This window comes from Homo sapiens, chromosome 18 (assembly GCF_000001405.40).
Source record: "Homo sapiens chromosome 18, GRCh38.p14 Primary Assembly".
In the NCBI taxonomy this organism is placed as follows: domain Eukaryota; kingdom Metazoa; phylum Chordata; class Mammalia; order Primates; family Hominidae; genus Homo; species Homo sapiens.
In genome coordinates this window covers 31,521,986-31,541,953 of record NC_000018.10, presented here as the reverse complement: position 1 = coordinate 31,541,953, position 19,968 = coordinate 31,521,986, and the positions used below count along the sequence as shown (strand labels likewise).

Genomic DNA, 19,968 nt, shown 5'->3' with positions numbered 1-19,968 from the left:
TCAACCATGGAAGAAAAACAAGGAAGAGGGAACTGGGGACCATGCTGCGGATGAATCATCATGTTGATCTTGGAATGCCCATTTTAGGATTAAGCCACTGTTATTCTGAGTTCTCTGCCACCTGATGCTAAATCCTATCCTATTAGAAATGGTGCTCATAACAGATGGTGGTGAGAGGTCCAGGGTGAAGGTGCAACAGAGAGACAAAGGGATATGGCTATGATGTAGTTGGGAAATGGGGTTTTGCAACATTTTACAAGTGTCATGGGGGTTGTGGGCTTACCTCTGCAAACCCTATGTATTGAGGGAAATGGAAATGAAGCAGTTCCTGGTTATGAAAACTGCCCATTTAATGTTAGGACAAAAGACTTAGATTCCTACACACTCTTGCTCTTCCTGAACCTTGCTCTACATTCTCTACAACATGGGAAGTGTCAAAACAGAGTAAAACTATCTCAATTCTGCCCCAGCAACAAACACAAAATATGCTGTCATTTGAACTCTTTGCTTAACAAAGGCACATGAGTGAAATCCATAGTGATCACTTTACTCACTCAACCAAACATGTAAGAAACACTTCCCTAGGCCCCTTTAAAACCCAAGAAGAAGACAAGTCATATTGACATCTGATCCACTGACCTTGTCTTCAGGTGGTGCTCCTTCATTATTCCAAGGATGCAGCATCTCTATGGTGCCAGGTATGGGGGTAAAGCCTTTGGCGCCCTTTCCGCAATGGCACATCAGCAGTAAAAGTGGTACCACTGTACAGACACAAAATTGAACACAGATAAGGTTAACCTTGATATATTTCTAAATTTATATTGCACAATTTTGGAATTTGCATGTCCCTTCCTGGACTTGTCTTCACTTATTTACAGCTCTATTTTTCTTTTCTTCACCCTGATCCAACCTTACCAAGCTTGTTTTGGGTGAATTACTCCAAAACCCGAAGGCAGGATGAGGGAGTCTTACAGATTCAAGGCCTTGTTCATCAAAAAGAGGCTGTCTGTGGCTGCTGAGTGGAATACCAAGACTAGGTTCAGATAGTATCCAAATCATCAAAACCAGCTTAAAGATTAATTTTTTTAAAACTATGGTCCAATTAAAAAAAAATCACTGTTGCAAAAATATATGTACTATTGAAAACAGTAATTAGAAATAATAAAGTGAAACATATAACAATTTCAGAGCCCTCTTCTTAGATTTTATTTTACCCCTAGGAGGAAGCAAAGACCAAGGCTGACCCCTTGATCAATGTAGTAAAGAATTAAACACACCTGCATGCCCATCTGCCACTCCCATTTGGCAGCTTCCAATGATGAACTGGCTACTGCCTAGATTCGTTTTTATGTCAAACAGTCAACAGCACATTAACTACAGCTACTACGATTAATAAGAAGACTGAAATCAGCCAGTGGCAATTCAACAATTTTAACAAACATTCATCAAGTGTCTATTATGTGCCAAGTACCACATTAGGCTCCAGGGAATCTGAGATGAGAAAGCAGTGCAAGGAATCCCTGAGCAAAAGATACAGTCCCAGCTCCAGTACCTACCTACAAACTTGGTAAGCTGAGACAAGTCATTTACCGTTATGTATCTGTATATGTAGCCATAGCATGGAGATGATGGTATAAAAGTACACTGCAGACTGTTGAGTGCTGTGCTTTCAATTGCACATCTACCAATGGCTCTAATACAGCAGTCCCCAACCTTTTTGACACCAGGGACTGGTTTCATGGAAGACAGTTTTTCCACAGGGAAGTTAGGGGTAGGGGGGTTGGTTTTGGGATGACTCAAGTGCATTACATTTATTGTGTACTTTATTTCTATTATTATTACATTGTAATATATAATGAAATAATTATACAACTCACCATAATGTAGAATCAGTGGGAGCCCTGAACTTATTTTTCTGCAACTAGATGGTCCCATCTGGGGGTGATGGGAGACAGTGACAGGTCATCAGGCATTAGATTCTCATAAGGAGCACGCAACCTGGATCTCTTGGCATGAGTAGTTCACGATAGAGTTTGAGCTCCTATAAGAATCGAATGCCAGCACTGGTCTAACAGGAGGTAGAGCTCAGGTGGTAACACGAGTGATGGGGAGTGGCTGTAAATACAGATGAAGCTTCACTCACTCTTCCACCACTCACCTCCTGCTGTGCGGCCTGGTTCCTAACAGGCCATGGACAGGTGCTGGTCTGTAGCCTGGGGGTTGGGGACCCCTTGTCTAACAGACCTCTCCTCTGTCACTGCACTAGCCTAGGCTGCCTTGGAGGCGGCCCTCTGTCCATATTCAGTGGTCAAGTAGAGTGATATTTCATGTGACCTCAGGATGCAGTCCCTTGTTCTTTTATAAAAGGAAACCCGAGGTCTTTGGAGCGTGGGTAGGGCAGGCAGGACTGGTTGAGAACATCTTACGGTCAGGAAGGACAGGAAGTGCTCAGAGGGTCTGCCTACTTTTGGTGCTGACGAAGAAACAAGGCAAGCGGGGAATATCAGGGAGGCGGAGCTCTGATAAGTTGAATGTACAAAGCAGGATTGATTGGAATAAACTGGGTTTGTAAAAAACCTTGTGCCCATAACCCAAAGTCATGCAACACATCTTTTTTGAGCGCTTACTACATGCAAGGCTCTGTTCCACACACTGGGAATACAGCAGTGAAGAGAACAGACAGCATGCTGCCCTCACAGAGCTCATCAAAATGGGAATACCAGTGAAGTTTATGCCAATAGTTCCTAAGTTACTGAAACCAGAAAAGGATATACATTTATAAAACAAAATTCTGAAGAGTCTTATATTATGCTTTGGTGATTTGCCAATCATCAGTTGTTTCCCTATTCACCCTCAAAGTGCTCTAGTGTGGTTAAAGAATAACTGTGAAGAAATCAATGACTACCATAGTAACACATCTCCAGGAGTGCACTCAGATTCCCAAAAGCACAACAGAGTGGCTTTTAAAGACTTACATAGCAGGAGCAGAAAGGCCAAAATCATGAGCGCAATTGCTGCGGGTCCCAGGCCCACATAGGAGTCATGCTGTGCTTCCCTGCAGCCGCTGCCATGCAGACACTCACAAACTGTGAGTGTAAGGACCTGCTTTTCAGGACAACTAAAACCCTGATTGTCTGAAATCAGGAACTGAATTTCACTTCTCCCAAGCTTTTTCTCACTTTGTTGCAGCAGCACACTGGTACCTACAAGGTTGGGAGGCAGAAGGAAATAAAAACGAACGATTACCAAGGATGAGGCAACATTAAATTCCACAAATGTTCTTTCATTGCTGATTGTATTTAACTCCAATTAGGTACTTTGTTCTTCCTTCACTTATTGAAGTGTGCTCATTAAAATTTGTCTATAGGCCCTGAATATGCAGTTTAAATAGCAAAGGTTCAGACCTGGACACCTACTTTCATGATGATTAGCTGTAACCAATGTGTGTGGGTCTAGGAAAGCTAGGAACTGTTCTATACACTGGGAATACAGTGACAAACAAGTGGTGAGTTAACATTTCTACTGAATGACCTTTATTTTACCATTTCTTTAAAAAAAAACTTCATTAAGGCAATTTTTCAAACATAGTAATAAAGAGAAGAGCATAACCCCCATGGTACCCATCCTCAGCGTTAATCATTTTCAATGATGGGCTGATCTTGTTTTCTCTAGTCCCTTCTTTTTTTGTTCTCAACACTATATACATTCAAAATGGAAAAAAAATTCAAACCTACAGAAAAGTTGAAAGAATATTTTAGTGAATATTAACAAACCCTTACTAACTGTTTACATTTTGCAACAATGCTTTCTTTGCCCTCTATATACCCACTTTTTCTTTTTTTTAAAGTTTCTTAACTATTTCAAGGTAAGTTACAGATAGCACGACATTCTTCAGCATGCACCTTCTAAGATCAAGGAACATTAGCACTCTTACACTTCTTCTTCTTCTTCTTATTTTTTGAAATGGAGTCTCGTTCTGTTGCCCAGGCTGGAGTGCTGTGCTGCCATCTTGGCTCACTGCAACCTCTGCCTCCCAGGTTCACCTGCCTCAGCCTCCTGAGTAGCTGGGATTACAGGTGCCCACCACCATGCCCAGCTAATTTTTGTATTTATAGTAGAGATGGAGTTTCACCATGTTGGCCAGGCTGGTCTCAAACTCCTGACCTCAAGTGATCCACCCGCCTCACCCTCCCAAAGTGCTAGGATTAAGGCATGAGCTACCATGCCCGGCTTCAACTTGTTATTGATAATATTCTGTAATATACAACTCAGTGTATTTGTAAGTTAAATTTATTAGAATTTTAGAGTATAAGGATCATAGGGAGTTTTTTTTTTGAGACAGAGTCTTGCTCTGTCACCCAGGCTGGAGTGCAGTGGCACAATCTCGGCTCACTGCAAGCTCTGCCTTCTGGGTTCATGCCATTCTCCTGCCTCAGCCTCCCGAGTAGCTGGGACTACAGGTGCCTGCCACCACGCCCGGCTAATTTTTTGTATTTTTAGTAGAGACGGGGTTTCACCGTGTTAGCCAGGATGGTCTCGATCTCCTGACCTCATGATCCGCCTGCCTTGGCCTCCCAAAGTGCTGGGATTACAGGCGTGAGCCACCGCACCTGGCTGGGAGGTTTTGTTAATTCAGATCACTGAAATATATAAGGAAACTAAATATATTAAATCTGTAAATACAGTTTGAAATATTGATGGTGTTTAATTTGTTAATTGGACTAAACATTATTCAAACCCTCTTAAAATGATTTCAAACATTTGCTAGACTTAACACAATAAAGCTGTAAATTAAAAAAAAAACTGACTATTGTCTTTGAAATTTTACTGAAATGAACCCTAGTTGTTTAAAACAAAATAGTTTTCTGGATAGACTTTTCTGCATTCAGAACCACCCTGAAGGACATCTGAAAACTCACATCAACACATCATATGGTCCATGTGTCTAGATGTCCTGGATGTGGACATATGGACATGTCCACTGACATGGGGAAGGGGGGAATCAGATAACTCCCCTGTTATGTTGTTTCTATCATGTTCTAGGTTTGAGCTTTACTTACCCCCAGTTAAACCAAGGTATCCTCAGCTTTAATCAGGGAATAATGTTGAAGGAAGGATTAAATATGGTAATACATAGGGTGGGCTAGCAGAATGCCTAGCACATAGCAAGTGCTCAATAAATGTTGTTTTAAATGGAATTACTGTTACTACAAGATTTTTAGAAGGCAAACTACTACGATTGTGGTGCTGACAAAGGCTTGGTACTCCTCACCTTACCAGACAAAACTACTTCAAGGGCTATTTAGGGAATACCCAGCTACCTTCAAGACATTTTAGATTATTTTTCTTCTCTCCATAAGCATATAAAAGATACTATATGTCAGTAGGTTCAGGACCTCATTTCATAAACTCCTTTAAAAAACTATATTGGAAATATAATTTATGAGAAGAAATACAACTTACAAATATTTTAGATATCATGCTTAATATTTAGATTTCTATGTAGTCCAGTGATTTTGCTTACTTTCTTGGCGTGCTATTTTCCATTTTTCTGCCATGCCAGGTGGTTTGTCAATGACGGAGAAACTGAAAGGGCCACTGTTTGGGTGTCCATCCAGGTCCTCTGCAGTAACATTCACATACTCTGCATCGTGACAGATTGTCTGCACAGGCTCTATCAGTGTGGGACAGTTGTCGTTGATGTCTTCAACATTGATAAGGACTGTGCCAGTGATGGTTTTTCTAGGATAATCTTAAAAATAAGAGAGAAAAAGTATGTACATTCTGTTCCTATTGCTGACAACAGACATAGTTTGAATTCCCTTGCCAATTTGGAGTGGAGAAGGTACTAACCACTTAGGACATTTTCTATCCTAGATATGTTTCAAATTTGGACCAAGTAATATCTTTTAATCCACTTACCAAGTAGAAATGTGAGATTTATCTACTGGAGAAATTAGGTGCTTATTTCATCTTACTAAAAAATTTTTTTAGACATCTATTTTTAAATTTTATCTACCCCTCAATTTTTTTTTGAAGATGGTGTCTTGCTTTTTTGTCCAGGCTGGTCTCAAACTCCTGGGCTCAAGTGTTCCAACCATCTCAGTTGCCTGAGTAGCTGGGACTACAGACACAAGCAACTGTGCTGGGGTGAGATTAGGTTTTTGTTTTTGTTTTTTTTTTTTTGAGTTGGAGTCTCCCTTTGTCTGGCGCGATCTCCGCTCCTCTACCTCCTGGGTTCAAGCAATTCTCCTGCCTCAGTCTCTTGAGTAGCTGGGACTACAGATGCATGCCACCATGCCCAGCTAATTTTTGTATTTTTAGTAGAGACGGGGTTTCACCATGTTGGCCAGAATGGTCTCGATCTCTTGACCTCGTGATCCACCTGCCTTGGCCTCCCAAAGTGCTGGGATTACAGGCATGAGCCACTGCTCCCGGCCGAGATTAGGTTTTTATACACAATCAAATCAATGGTTTCTGATGTTGGAAAATAAAAATCTAAATACATATAATCAAGAAAAAGATCTATTTAATAACTTACCTTCTGATATGGCCACAATCTTTACAGTGTATGTGCCATTTTGAACATATCTAGATTCAAAATCAGGAAGTTTTGCAAGTTTAATTTCAGATGTGACAGAATCCACAGAGATCCAATTATCTCTATCTTCTAATTTTACATATCTGTCATAAAACAAACATAAAATTAATTTTGAATTCTGCATGAATTGGAAACCTCTAACATCTACAGCTCTTTCAAGCTTACTTTTCTTCTCTTTAAATATGTTCTTATTACAGGCATTTGTTTTGAATGTTTTTAATTTTGCAAAACCATCCTAAAAGCCCCTCTCTTTACTGCATGTCACACTTAAATTGGACCTTTCTTATTCCTGCAACATACCCAAGACATAAAATTAAGGGTGATTCTCTTGAGCCCACTAACCACTAACTCAAGTTTTTAAGTTGCTCTGCAGTCTGTCCTATGGCATTTGATTTAGTGTCCCTTAAAGTTGGGTTAAACTTTTGGGGAATAACTTAGTTATACAATAAGCACTGGTGGAGAAGAGCAGTCTTATGTTCTGTTGTTTATTGGGGGCGTTAGCAACATTTACAAACATCAACTTTAAAAATCAATGATCGCAGGGGCCAGGTGCGGTGGCTCACGCCTGTAATCCCAGCACATTGGGAGGCTGAGGCGGGTGGATCACTTAAGGTCAGGAGTTTGAGACCAGCCTGGTCAACATGGTGAAACCCCGTCTCTACTAAAAACACAAAAAATGCCGGGCATGGTGGCACGTGCCTGTAATCCCAGCTCCTCAGGAGGCTGTGGCAGGAGAACTGCTTGAACCCAGGAGGTGGAGGTTGCAGTGAGCCGAGATCGCGCCACTGCACTCTAGCCTGGGTGACAGAGCAAAACTCCATCTCAAAAAAAAAAAAAAAAAAAATCAATGATCATTTTAAACGGAAGCATCTACAAATTTTCTGATACTGTTGATTATTGGGGTAATAATTTTCTTTCAGGCAGAACTGGTTAAAAGTGGAAACAATGCCGATAAAATCGTTTCTGGGTTTCTTCCCTCAAAGCAAGGAGAATTAGTGTGGAAGGAGCCAATGCTGGGAGAGCAAGGCAAATGTCCATATTATGTTTTCAGAAACGTATGTAACTGGCCAAGCATGGTGGCTCACACCTATAATCCTAGCACTTCGGGAAGCCGAGTTGGATGGACCACCTGAGGTCAGGAGTTCAAGACCAGCCTGACCAACAGGTTAAAACCCCATCTCTACTAAAAATACAAAAATTATCTGGGTGTGGTGGTGGGCACCTGTAATTCCAGCTATTTGGGAGGCTGAAGCAGAACTGCTTGAACCCGGGAGGCAGAGGTTGCAGTAAGCCGAGATCGTGCCACTGCACTCCAGCCTGAGTGACAGAGCAAGACTCAGTCTCAAAAAAAAAAAAAAAAAGAAAAAAAAGAAATGTATGTAATTAGTTAATGAATACCAATGAGTTTAACATAAAAATACCAGTACCAACCAAACATATGAGTATCTTGGTTTGCTCAATCAAATTGTTAATTTATTTTCTATTAAGTGGCTTCGAGGCACACAGGAATGAGTGGCTAATTTATAGCAATATTTATTTTTAGTGCTATTTCCAATTATACACTTGAACTAAATTTTTCTGCCTCTTAATACTGCTACCAGTAAATAATAATACATTTTGATTTTCACAATTAGTTTTGAATTTCATGTCTGAAATTTTAAAGCTTAGACATAAGTTGCTGTCTATGGTTTACCAACATTCATACTGATAATAAAGGCAGAGTCTTAGAAATAGGGATTACATTTCACAATGTGTTTGCTTAATCTCATTTAAGAAATCTTCTGTTCTCTGTTGTAAAAGCTAGACATCATTCAAGTAGCATAGCTGCTTACATGTTATATCAAATATCTGTAAACAGCTGATACACATGAATAATCAATAAAACAGTAAATTATGACAAACAGTCTGGAATGCAGTGGTGTGATGGCAACTCGCTGGAACCTTGAACTCCTAGGCTTAAGCAATCCCCCTGTCTAAGCCTCCCCAGTAGTGGGGACTACAAACATGTGCCACCATGCCTGGCTAATTGAAAAAAAAATTTTTTTTTGTAGAGACAAGGTCTTGCTGTGTTGCCCAGGTTGGTCTTGAACTCCTGGCCTCAAGTGATCCTCCTGCCTCGGATTCTTGAGTGCTGAGATGCCAGGCATGAACCCACCACACCCAGCCCCTTATCAGTGTTTCAAAATAACAACCACTAATTAGTTAGGTAAACATTTGGAAAATAATTTAACTTGGTTGTGCCTCCATTCCTTATCTGTAAAATAATAGGTTTGAGCTGGTCTTTAAGACCTTTTCTTTCTAAAATTCTGTAACTGCATTCTAAAGAATACAATAAAACACTAAGAAATAAAAAAGGCAGGGTTCATTATTCTTCCAGGCAGAACACACAATCTTTTGATGTATTCATGGCCCCTAAACAAACAAACAAACAAACAAACAAACAAAACAGCAGCCAAAAGTCAATAATTTGGTGGGAAACAGAAGCTTCAATAAGTGGCCACATATTATTGGTATATAATTAGTTTGAACATATAAGTTTCTCCATAGACAGCAGTGAAAAATGATCATATAGAAAATTCATGCTCAATTTTGTAAATTCAGTTGGGTATACTGTCTTGTGAGGTTATAGAGCTGAGAAAATTAAAACTAGACCAACTAGACCACATAACTCAAGAGGACCATAGTGGGCCAAAGAATGTCACCAAGGCACTACAGAAAATATGGTGGAAGCTGTTTGTTAACATTACTTTGGAAAAAATGTTATTTAAGGAATTCCATGAAAAGGCGATTCACTAAAAGGAAAAAGGTTGCTGAGGAGCTTCTTCCACATTTTCATTCTTGCTACACTTGGCGATGCACTTAAATACAATGTTTTAGGAAGCACTGGTACACAGGGACTGCTATGATTTTCATGTTTGTAACCCTCGGAAATTCTTATGTTGGAGTCTAATATGCAGTATGATCATATTAAGAGGTGGGGCCTTTGGTAAGTGATTAAGTCATGAGGGCACCACCCTCATGAATGGAATTAGTGCTCTTAAAAAAGAGACTCCAGTGAGTTCCCTTGTTCCTTTGGCCACGTGAGGATGCAGCAAGATGGTGCCATCTTGGAAGCAGACAGCAAGACTCACCAGATACCAAATCTGTTGGCTGGTGCCTTGATGGACTTCCCAGCCTTCAGAACTGTGAGTAACAAATCTGCTGTTTATAAATTACTTGGTCTAACGTATTTTTATTACAGCAGCTCAAATGGACTAAGACAGGGACACAGGTGTATAAGGACACTCAAGCAACCAGGCAGCTCTGGCACTGAGCAAGAAGTCACTAAAGTTGTGTCTGGGACAGCAGGTGGGGATTCTTTAAATTCAACTGCAGTAACAGTAACTAGAGCTCCATAAATAACAGCTCTGTAGAGAATGGTCTTTCCGTGGCACGGCACTGAGATCTAAGATGTAAATTTACTTTGAAAATTTGAAAGCATCACACAATAAGGTGCCACTACAGAGTGGACACAAACTAGTTTCTTCCAACACAGTGAGCATCTTGTAGGTTCTCAATAAATGTACTCTGAGTAAAGGTCACCATGATCAAGACAAACATAAACAGTGTAGGAGGCTCATTAATCTCTGAAACAAATAGGTTTAAATGAAGATTCATTCCCAAGATATATGCGTTAAGTAAAGCTGGTTTCCCCATATTAAAATACATTATGTAACTTGTATAAAGTAAATCTTGTGGATGTTATCTGCTACGTTCTCACCCTCCAATAATAATCTTTTAGGAAATAAGACAGGTTTTTAAAAGTTTTTTCCTGAACTTTTCCTTTGTTGCTTTTTAGCCATCTCTAGCCAGAACTGTTTCAGTGGTGAGTAAACTAACTTCCTCCTCACACACAGGTGGTTGAAGAAGGTGGATTCTGGTGAAAATTCCCCCTCATCTCTCAGTTATAGACACATCTTTGGAAAATTTAACTTGTAGACCTTTGGGGAACTATAATGCTGGATTTGAAGGAATGAAGTGTTCAGATTTGATTATGATTTTTGAAAATAGGCACTGAAAATAATTTAAAATAAAGAAATACACGTGTCACTCTCTCTTACCTTGCATGGGCTGGTAGTCCAGTGTCCTCATCAAAAGCTTGAAAATTTCCAATTATTTGGCCTTTGCTTGATCTATCCATGCTCTCGCTAACATAAATTGAGATGACGCTGCTTTTAAAATGAATGCCTTCTTTCACATTTTTCACTTTGACCTTGATGGGAATGGGTGTAGGCTTGTATTTACTCCTAATCGACTTGTGAAAAGCTGCTTTATTAGCGACAATAACACTGAAGTCAAGATTCTTCATTTCTTCATAATCTACTTCCTGAAAGGGAAAACCAAAGGGAATTCTTTTCAAAGAGAAAACAGAAGACATGTATACATATACATATACATGTGTGGTTTTAATGTTAGATACAATAATTTAATGCACAGGAAATATAGCAGCACTGAATAGTCCAACTCTTATACTGACACCAAGCAAATAAAAATTCTGTCAATCTGGATAGTCATAAATGTTAAGGATGTTTAGGAAGTATTACCAATTTATTTTCCTAAATGTTGAAATTACTGTAAATATATATATATATTTTGTTCAGGCATGGTGGCTCATGCCTGTAATCCCAGCACTTTGGGAAGCCAAGGCAGGTAGATCACTTGAGCCCAGAAGTTTGAGACCAGCCTGGGCAACATAGGGAGTTCCCATCTGTACAAAAAAATACAAAAATTAGCTGTGCATGATAGCTCGTGCCTGTGGTCCTAGCTACTCAGGAGGCTGAGGTGGGAGGATTGCTTGAGCCCAGAGGGTTGAGGCTGCAGTGAGCCATGATCATGCCACTGCACTTCAGCCTGGGCAATAAAGTGAGACCCTGTCTCAAAACATACACACACACATATCTATAGATATGTGTATATATATTTAACAATCTGAAGTGATTTTTTTTCTAATGTAAAAAATTAGTGGGCATTCAGTATAAATCAGTATTCCTTAAAATGTGTTCTATGGGTTTATTTTAGTGAAAATAAGTAGTGGTAGCTCTGTGAGCTCTGTCCCTCTAATATAGCTATATATTACACATTAGCATATTAAAATACTTGAATTCCTGGAGTAAAGAAGAAACCTAGAGATTTTCAAATCTGTTTAAACAAAGAACCCCACTCTCCTCTTTTTTAGCATAATACCTATTAATATCTGGTTTGCTGTTAATTCCATAAAAGATTAACCTTTCTTCAAATAGTTCTTTGTAATAGCACAATTTCCATTTGAAATAATCAGTTCATTACTGTATACATATTTTATGTTCCAACTTTTCAATGTTTCTTTTTATAAACATTTCCATAGTATTCTACTACTTAGATATAGACAGTCATTCTATAATTAGGCATTTGGGCTATCACAATTTCTAAATGTAATTAATACTGCTCTCAGCATTTTTATACACATTATTTTTCCTCTGTTGACCTATATCCTATTACTAAAAGAACTACCTAAAGTTTACTTAGGTCCTGTTGCTTTTTATTTCCAGTATCTCTGACCATTTAGATGCACTAAACATTTTTGCTTGTTTCTTCAGTATAAAATTAAATATATTAGGCATGTTTACATGAATTACAGCAAAGCTTTTCACTTGTGTTTTGGAGAATTCATTGTGAATTTCCTTCCTTTGGAGCTACCACTACTTATTTTCACCAAAATAAGTCAGTCAGTTTTCCTCTCTATTGGGCTCTGGATGGATCACAACTTCTGCACCCTTTAAAAATATGGATCACTATGATGTTGAGACAAGGACACAGGAGAAAAAGACTAGAGAAAATACATCCTTTGTGATTGTAATATCTTTGTGAAAGCTTGTTAGTTTATTTAAGTCACTCTTGCACTTGACATGCTTGTTTGATGGCATGATATATGCCGGATGAGAAATAAAATCTTCCAGCCAGATGTCATTAGTATCCAAAGGCCAAGACCATGAAAAAATAAATAAATAAATAAAAGCTAGGTATTGGGGCCATAAGTGTTTCATAGTGTTAGTCATAAATAGCCATAATGCTCCAAAGCAAATGGAAAATTTTCAGTATCAAGAGCGCTGTGTGAGGGAATAGACCTCTATTTTTTACAACTCTGTAAACTTATTTTATCATTTCCATTTTTGCTATTTTTTAATAACATTAAAGATTGTAAGTTTATTTGTTAATTTGTTAACAAAGCTGTGAATTTTTCTCATGTGACTATTTACTATCTCTATTTCCATATTTAAAAATATCCGTTCATCTCCTTTATCCTTTTTGGACAGCTTCATTCAGGTATAACTTATATACAATAAAATTTGCCCATTTTAAGTGTACAGCATGATGAGTTCTGGATTTGCAATCATCACTATGGTCCAGTTTTAGAACACTCCATCACCCCCAAAAGTTCCTTTACATGTGTTTGTAGTCAGTCCCCACTCAGACTCACCACTCCAAGCAATCCCAGTCTGCTTTCTATCCCCATTGTTTCACCTTTTCTAGAAATTTCAAGTAAATGGAATCATGTAATATGTACTATTTTGTGTCTGGCTCCTTATACATAGCATAATCAGCAAATTTTTTTTTTTTTTTTTTTGAGATGGAGTCTTGCTCTGTCTCTTAGGCTGGGATGAAGTGACGTGATGCTGGCTCACAGCAACCTCTGCCTCCCGGGTTCAGGCAATTCTCCTGCTTCAGCCTCCCAAGCAGCTGGAATTATAGGCATGCACTACCAAACCTGGCTAATTTTTTGTTTTAGTAGAGTCAGGGTTTCACCATGTTGCCCAGGCTGGTCTCAAACTCCTGAGCTCAGGTGATCCCCCAACCTCGGCCTCCCAAAGTGCTGGGATTACAGGCGGGAGCCACCGTGCCCAGCCCATAGCATAATGTTTTTGAGGTTCATCCGTGTTGTAGCTTGTATCAGTACTTCATTCCTTTTTATTGCTCATTAGTATTCCATCATATGAATACACCACATTCTGTTTATCTACTCACCAGCTGATGGACATTTGGACTGCTATTAGTTTTTTTTATTATCATGAATAATGCTGCTATGAACATTTGCATACATGTCTTTGTATAGACCTGTTTTTATTTTTCTTGGGTGGAAACCTAAGAATCAAATCATTGGGTCATATAACTACTCTTGTGTAACTTTTAAAAGAAACTGTCAAACTGCCTGCATCATGTTACAATTCCACTAGCAATCCAGTTTCTCTATATTTTTGCCAATAATTGGTGTTGTCAATCTTTTTGATTGCTATTGTCTGAATGTTTGTGTCGCCTTAAAACTCACGTGCTGAAATCCTGACTCTCAAAGTGATGATATTAAGAGTGGGGCTTTTGGGAGATCCTGGGATCAATGCTCTTTCAAAAGACGCCTAGTGGAGCTTGTTGGATGTTCCACTATGTGATGATACAACAAGAAGGCACTGTGTATAAGCCAGAAAGCGGGACCTGCCCAGACACTGCATCTGCTTTGATCTTGGGCTTTCCAGCCTCCAGAACTGTGAGAAATAAATTTCTGTTGTTAATAAGCAACCCAGATGATGGCATTTTGTTGTAGCAGCCCAAACGGACTAAGATATTCATTTCTGCCATTCTAGAAGGTAAAGTGGTATCTCTTATAGTTTTAATTTGATTTTCCCTAATGAGTAATGATGTTGGCACCTTTTCACGTGGGTATTTGCTACTTGTATATCTTTTTTGTCTAAATTCCTTTCGATGGAATCCGATTGCTGCCCTTATAATTTGGAAGCAATTCATTACATAATTGAGACAATGACTTTGTAATTATCTCACTCGGTTGCTTTCACTGTAATACTCATTTTATTGTTTTTTTATCCACATCCCTCTTGATAGAAATAACTATATCCCTTTTTTTGTGCTATCATAGTACACTAAAAATACAGTCATGCATTGCTTAATGATTTGAGAAATGAGAAATGCAGTTAGGCAATTTTGTTGAGGTGCAAACATCACAGAGTGAACTCACACATACCTAGATGGTAAAGCCTACTATACACCTACACTATATGGTATAGCCTATTGCTCCTATGCTACAAACCTGTATAGCATGTTACTGTACTGAATATTGTAGGCAATTATAATATAATAGTATTTGTGTACTTAAACATGCTTAAACATAGAAAAGGTATAGTAAAAATATGATAGTAAAGATTTGAAAAATGGTACAGCTGTATAGAGCACTCACCATAAGTGGTGCTTGCAAGACTGAAAGTTACTCTGAGTGAGTGAGTGAATGGATATGAAGGCCTAAGACATTACTGTACACTACTGCAGACTTTGTAAATACTGTACCTAGGTGACACTAAATTTAAAAAAAAATGAAACTTTCTTTCTCCAATAATAAATTAGGCTTAGCTTACCATAACTTCTCTATAAACTTTTAAATATTTTCTTAACTTTTTGACTCTTTTGTAATGAGCCTTAGCTTAAGACACAAACACACTGTGCAGCTACACAAAAATATTTTTTTTCTTTACATCCTTACTCTGTATTTCTCAGCTCCATGATAATTTAACGGGGCCATCGTCATATATGTAGTCTGTCACTGACTGAAACGTTCGTATGTGGCACATGACAATTCTATGCTAGCACCTCTGTCATTCATCAATATCTGACTGTTTCTCCTTGCGTGTATAATTGGCTTTTCTATCTCAGGTATCTGGCGTGGTCATACCTATAAATTGATGGCTTAAAAATTGATGACACAAGCAGATAAACTGATTTTGTCTCGAATGACATGATCCATTTCTTCAATAATCATGAGTTCTTCTCTTTAAACATGAGGTAATGCTACTCAATTTTACTCTGCTTTTAAAAAGGTAGCTTAAATGCATATAGTAGCTGTCAATAAGTGGTGCTCAATTATCATGAAACCTCAAGTTAATTCTTCCCTATTCTGTTATACATTTATATCACCATTATTCCTCTTTCCACTGTCAGAGTTTTACCCAGTCTGTTATATATTAAGTTTTCATAAGAATTTCGAAACTTCTGGAATCAATTTTTGCCTATGTGTAATTTAATGAAATAGTATTTTGGAACTGTAGCTTTGCATTTTATTTTAAAATCTGGTAAGGCAATTCTAATATAAGCTACTTAAAATACACTGATATTATTCCTTACCTATATTTCTTGAGACGGAATCTCACTCTATTGCCCAGGCTTGAGGGCAATGGCACGATCTTGGCTCACTGCAACCTCCGCCTCCCAGGTTCAAGTGATTCTCCTGCCTCAGCCTCCTGAGAAGCTGGAATTACAGGCATGCACCACCACGCTTGGCTAATTTTTGTATTTTTAGTAGTAGAGATGGGGTTTCACCATGTTGGCCAGGCTGGTCTCGAACTCCTGACCTCGTGATCCGCCCTCCTCGGCCTCCCAAAGTGCTGGGATGGGATTACAGGCCTGAGCCACCACACCCGGCCCATCCTGTAATTCGACATAAATGCTTAATATCCCTATTTAGTTCAATTTTCCCTCCATTGACTCAATTAAGCACAAGAACTTAGTATACTGTATTTCCAAATGTGAGCCTCATACTAATATTAGAATCACAAGTGGATTTTTGCTAAAAAGACAAGTTCCTGAAACCTGCCCAATGAAACTTTTTGTTGATGAGACCAGGAACCTACATTTTTGGCATGCAGTTTTATGAGGTGATTCTTAGGCACACTTAACTATCAAGTTATCACAGCTTTTATTTTTAGATGTTATTAGTGAGGCCTGGGTTTACTGGTTTTGTTTCGGGGTTTTTTTTTTTTTGAGTCAGGGTCTCACTCTGTTGCCCAGGCTGGAGTGCAGCAGTGTGACCACGGCTCACTGCAGCCTCCGCCTCTTGGGTTCAAGCTATCCTCTCACCTAAGCCTCTTTAGTAGCTGGGACTACAGGCATGTGCCGCCATGCCCAGCTAATTTTTGTATTTTTTTTCGTAGAAGCGGGGATTTGCCATGTTGTCCAGGCTGGTCTCGAACTCCTGAGCTCAAGCTATCTGCCTGCCTTGGCTTCTCAAAGTGTGGGGCTGGCTTTACTCTTAAGTAGATAAAATCAGAGGTAGTAATTGAGGGGATACTCAGTAGAGGCAAGAGATTGTGATGTGAGAATGTGATCGCCAGGTATGAGCTGCAAGAAAGCCTGGAAATGAGCTAAGCAGTAATGATGGTGGTACCATGCTGTCTGGCTAGGATTAGAGTCCCCTGATATGAATTTGAACCATAGTGTGACCACTTCCTAACCACAGAACTTGGGCAAATAGGGATGGCTCCTTTCTCAAACAACTGTAGTGCTAGTTAATTGAATATGTAAAGCACTTTTAAGTGTTCAGGGCTCAAAATATATTAGATTCCTTTCCAGCACCAACTTGGCCCACGCCAGTTTTGAATACTTAGTACTTACCTTAATAAGGGTCACAATTCCTTCGTTAGTTTGAGCATCTGTTTCTATGTGGAAATAACCTCCTTCATTTCCTGATGCAAATGTAAAATTTGCCAGCCAATTATCAGAACCTATTTCATCTGCATCGAACACTTTTATGCGCGTAACTTCTACGTTGACTTGATTTTCTTCAACCATCCCTTCAAGCTGCAAAACATGAACACATGATTTTTATTTCAATGAAATACAAATATAAGTGATATATTTTTAATTAGGACTGAAATATAAATAAATAGGTACAGTTATTAGAAGAATAATAGTTACCACTTTATTTTCTACTACAGGTATATTGTCATTGACATCCAAAATACGAATCTGAACTTGAGCTTGTTTTACAGGTTTGTCTGTAACTTCTCCATTGCCATCTCTTGCTTCTACTGTCAAAGTGTAGCTGCTGTGTTCCTGCAGAGCAATGAAAAATGTCCAGCTGGGTGAAAAGAGTCACTCTTACATCTGGCTTTCTGGTTTTAGTCCAGTTTATCACGTACCACAGTATATTTTATTTACAAATCTGTTTTATGATCTGCTATTATTTGTGTGAAGATACTATTTACTTGCAGTCAGAGCTTTTGCAGAAGAACAGAAAAGCCTCGGGAGTTGTAGATAGTCAAATTCTTCAATAAGTCATTGGTGATATTATCAGGAGATAGTCTGCACAAAGGAGCCACTATTGAAAATGTAGCTTATTCTCTACTGAAAGTGAGGTGGAACTGTAGGAATTGGTTCTTTCTGTCCTGCACTTCATTCTCAGTGAGGAGAAGCTGGTCCTAAATAAACTTGGTTAGTGAAGGCAAAACTGGGTGAACTTTGTCCAGAATTCCCCAGAGATTTGATTCTTATAGTATGTGTCCTAGAGAACGGCTTCTCAGATGTCACTTCTTCTCTTCCATGAGGTCCCCTTACTATGGTTCTGTTCAGCGTGGCTGGAATTTAGGAGGGCAGGTAGTGCCAGTGCTTGGGGTCCTGCATAGGGCAGAACCACTCAGTGCACAGCAGGACACCAGGACCCTGGAGCCATCTGCCTGGGTTCCAATTCTGGCATCGTCACTTACTGACTGTGTTGGACATGCACTTATTCGCTTTGACCTTCGGGTTCTTTATGTGTAAGATGAGGATAATAAGTGAATCTGCCTCACAGGGTTTCTATGTGGATTAAATAGGTTAATCCATAAAAAGGCTTAGAACAGTACCTGGCAGAAGGTAAATGCCCAGTAAGTTAACAGCCATTATTATTGGCTAAACTTTCCGTCCTTTAGAAATAGCAGCTTGTTTAAAATCACACTACTAATGCAAAGTAACACTTTTCCATTCTAGTTTTATGTGAAAAGGTATAGAGTAGAATTTTAGGTGTAATCATATTCTTTAATTTTATAAACATTCCCTTAAGCCTGTTAGGCACAGTCCTTCCAATTTGGGCAGAATTAAATCATGTTTCTTTTCTTTTTTTTGGATATGGAGTCTTGCTCTGTTGCCCAGGCTGGAGTGCAGTGGCGCGATCTCAGCTCACTGCAAGCTCTGTCCCCTGGGTTCACACCATTCTCCTGCCTCAGCCTCCCGAGTAGCTGGGACTACAGGTGCCCGCCACCACACCCAGCTAATTTTTTGTATATTTAGTAGAGATGGGGTTTCACCGTGTTAGCCAGGATGGTCTCGATCTCCTGACCTTGTGATCTGCCCGCCTCAGCCTCCCAAAGTGCTGGCATTACAGGCATGAGCCACCACGCCCGGCCAATCATTTCTCTAAGAAATACTGAACGTAGTGCACTTGGATGATGATTTATATCTGATGACAAAGAGTGTACTTTATGATCAACCACATTTTACTCTTGTACGCTGTTAAAACCTTTATGTATACAGCATTTAAAAAATCTTCTATCTCCCCTTTTTATTTAAAAATTTCCCTTTCAGTTAGAAATAATAAAGTGAAATGTTCGAGAGAAATGCCTTCCTAGTAAACCTACTCAAACTTTCCTTCAATTTGGGATTTAGAGTAATTCTCTCCTTTACAGATACTTTTATTCTCTAACTAGGATTCCTATTTTCATCCCTTTCCTCACTGCCTCCTACGTACTAGCCGTGGAGGAGCCTCCTAATGTTTCATTAGAGAACTGCAAACTGAGAAATGTTTTAGGAACCTCTAGTAAACAGAACCCTGATAGGAGAGGCCCTAGAATGGTGCTGTTTTTATGTAATTTTAAATCTTCTAGTAGCCACATTTTAAAAAGAAACACATGATAACAATTTTAAACAAGTATATTTTATTTAATCTATGATATCTAAAATATTATTTTAACATGCAATGATCACAAAAAACATTAAGGTCATATTTTGCATTTTTCATATTAAGTTTTTCAAATCTGGTGCATATATTACACATTCAACGTGCATACAGCACATTACAATTTGGGCCAGTCACATTTTAAGTGCTCAATAGTCACATGGCCCATATTGGACAGCACATCCCTAAAAGAGAGTAATTCCAAGAGTTATCCTATGGATAAGGAATACAGAACAAAATAAGAAAATTAGAAAAGAAAAAGAGAGGAGAAACTGGAAAGGATAGAGAGTTTAAAGATGGGCAACATAACATATTAACTTACCTCTCTGTCCAAGGTAACACTGGTTGTATAAATCTCTCCTGTATCTTTATTTAGGTAGAACACTGGAGGATAAGCAGGCTCCAGAGATACGATTCTATAGGAAATTTTCGAATTCAGGGTATTGGGCTCATCTGCATCTGTTGCATTGATTTTCATCACAAGAGTATCTGGCATTAGAAATAAAGATGTCTAAGATGAAATTCAACTTTAAGCATATTTACCTGTTATTTTATTTATAATTTTAGCTTGTTCCAAAAAAGATTT

The 19,968-nt window shown here is 38.8% G+C and overlaps 1 protein-coding gene across 2 annotated transcripts in view; it reads right to left on the bottom strand.

Annotated features, from left to right (window-relative positions):
• DSG2 (desmoglein 2) overlaps positions 1 to 19,968 on the bottom strand; it is a 50,832-nt gene that overhangs the window by 7,055 nt on the left and 23,809 nt on the right. For both annotated transcript variants that reach the window (XM_047437315.1, NM_001943.5), the window contains 8 exons: positions 19,705 to 19,871; positions 17,369 to 17,506; positions 17,066 to 17,251; positions 10,702 to 10,967; positions 6,542 to 6,684; positions 5,525 to 5,752; positions 2,976 to 3,203; positions 640 to 761 (listed from right to left, as the gene is read on the bottom strand). In XM_047437315.1, the coding sequence (XP_047293271.1) occupies positions 640 to 761; positions 2,976 to 3,203; positions 5,525 to 5,752; positions 6,542 to 6,684; positions 10,702 to 10,967; positions 17,066 to 17,251; positions 17,369 to 17,506; positions 19,705 to 19,860 (1,467 nt within the window). In that variant the 5' untranslated portion in view covers positions 19,861 to 19,871. The remainder of the gene's footprint in view (positions 1 to 639; positions 762 to 2,975; positions 3,204 to 5,524; positions 5,753 to 6,541; positions 6,685 to 10,701; positions 10,968 to 17,065; positions 17,252 to 17,368; positions 17,507 to 19,704; positions 19,872 to 19,968) is intronic.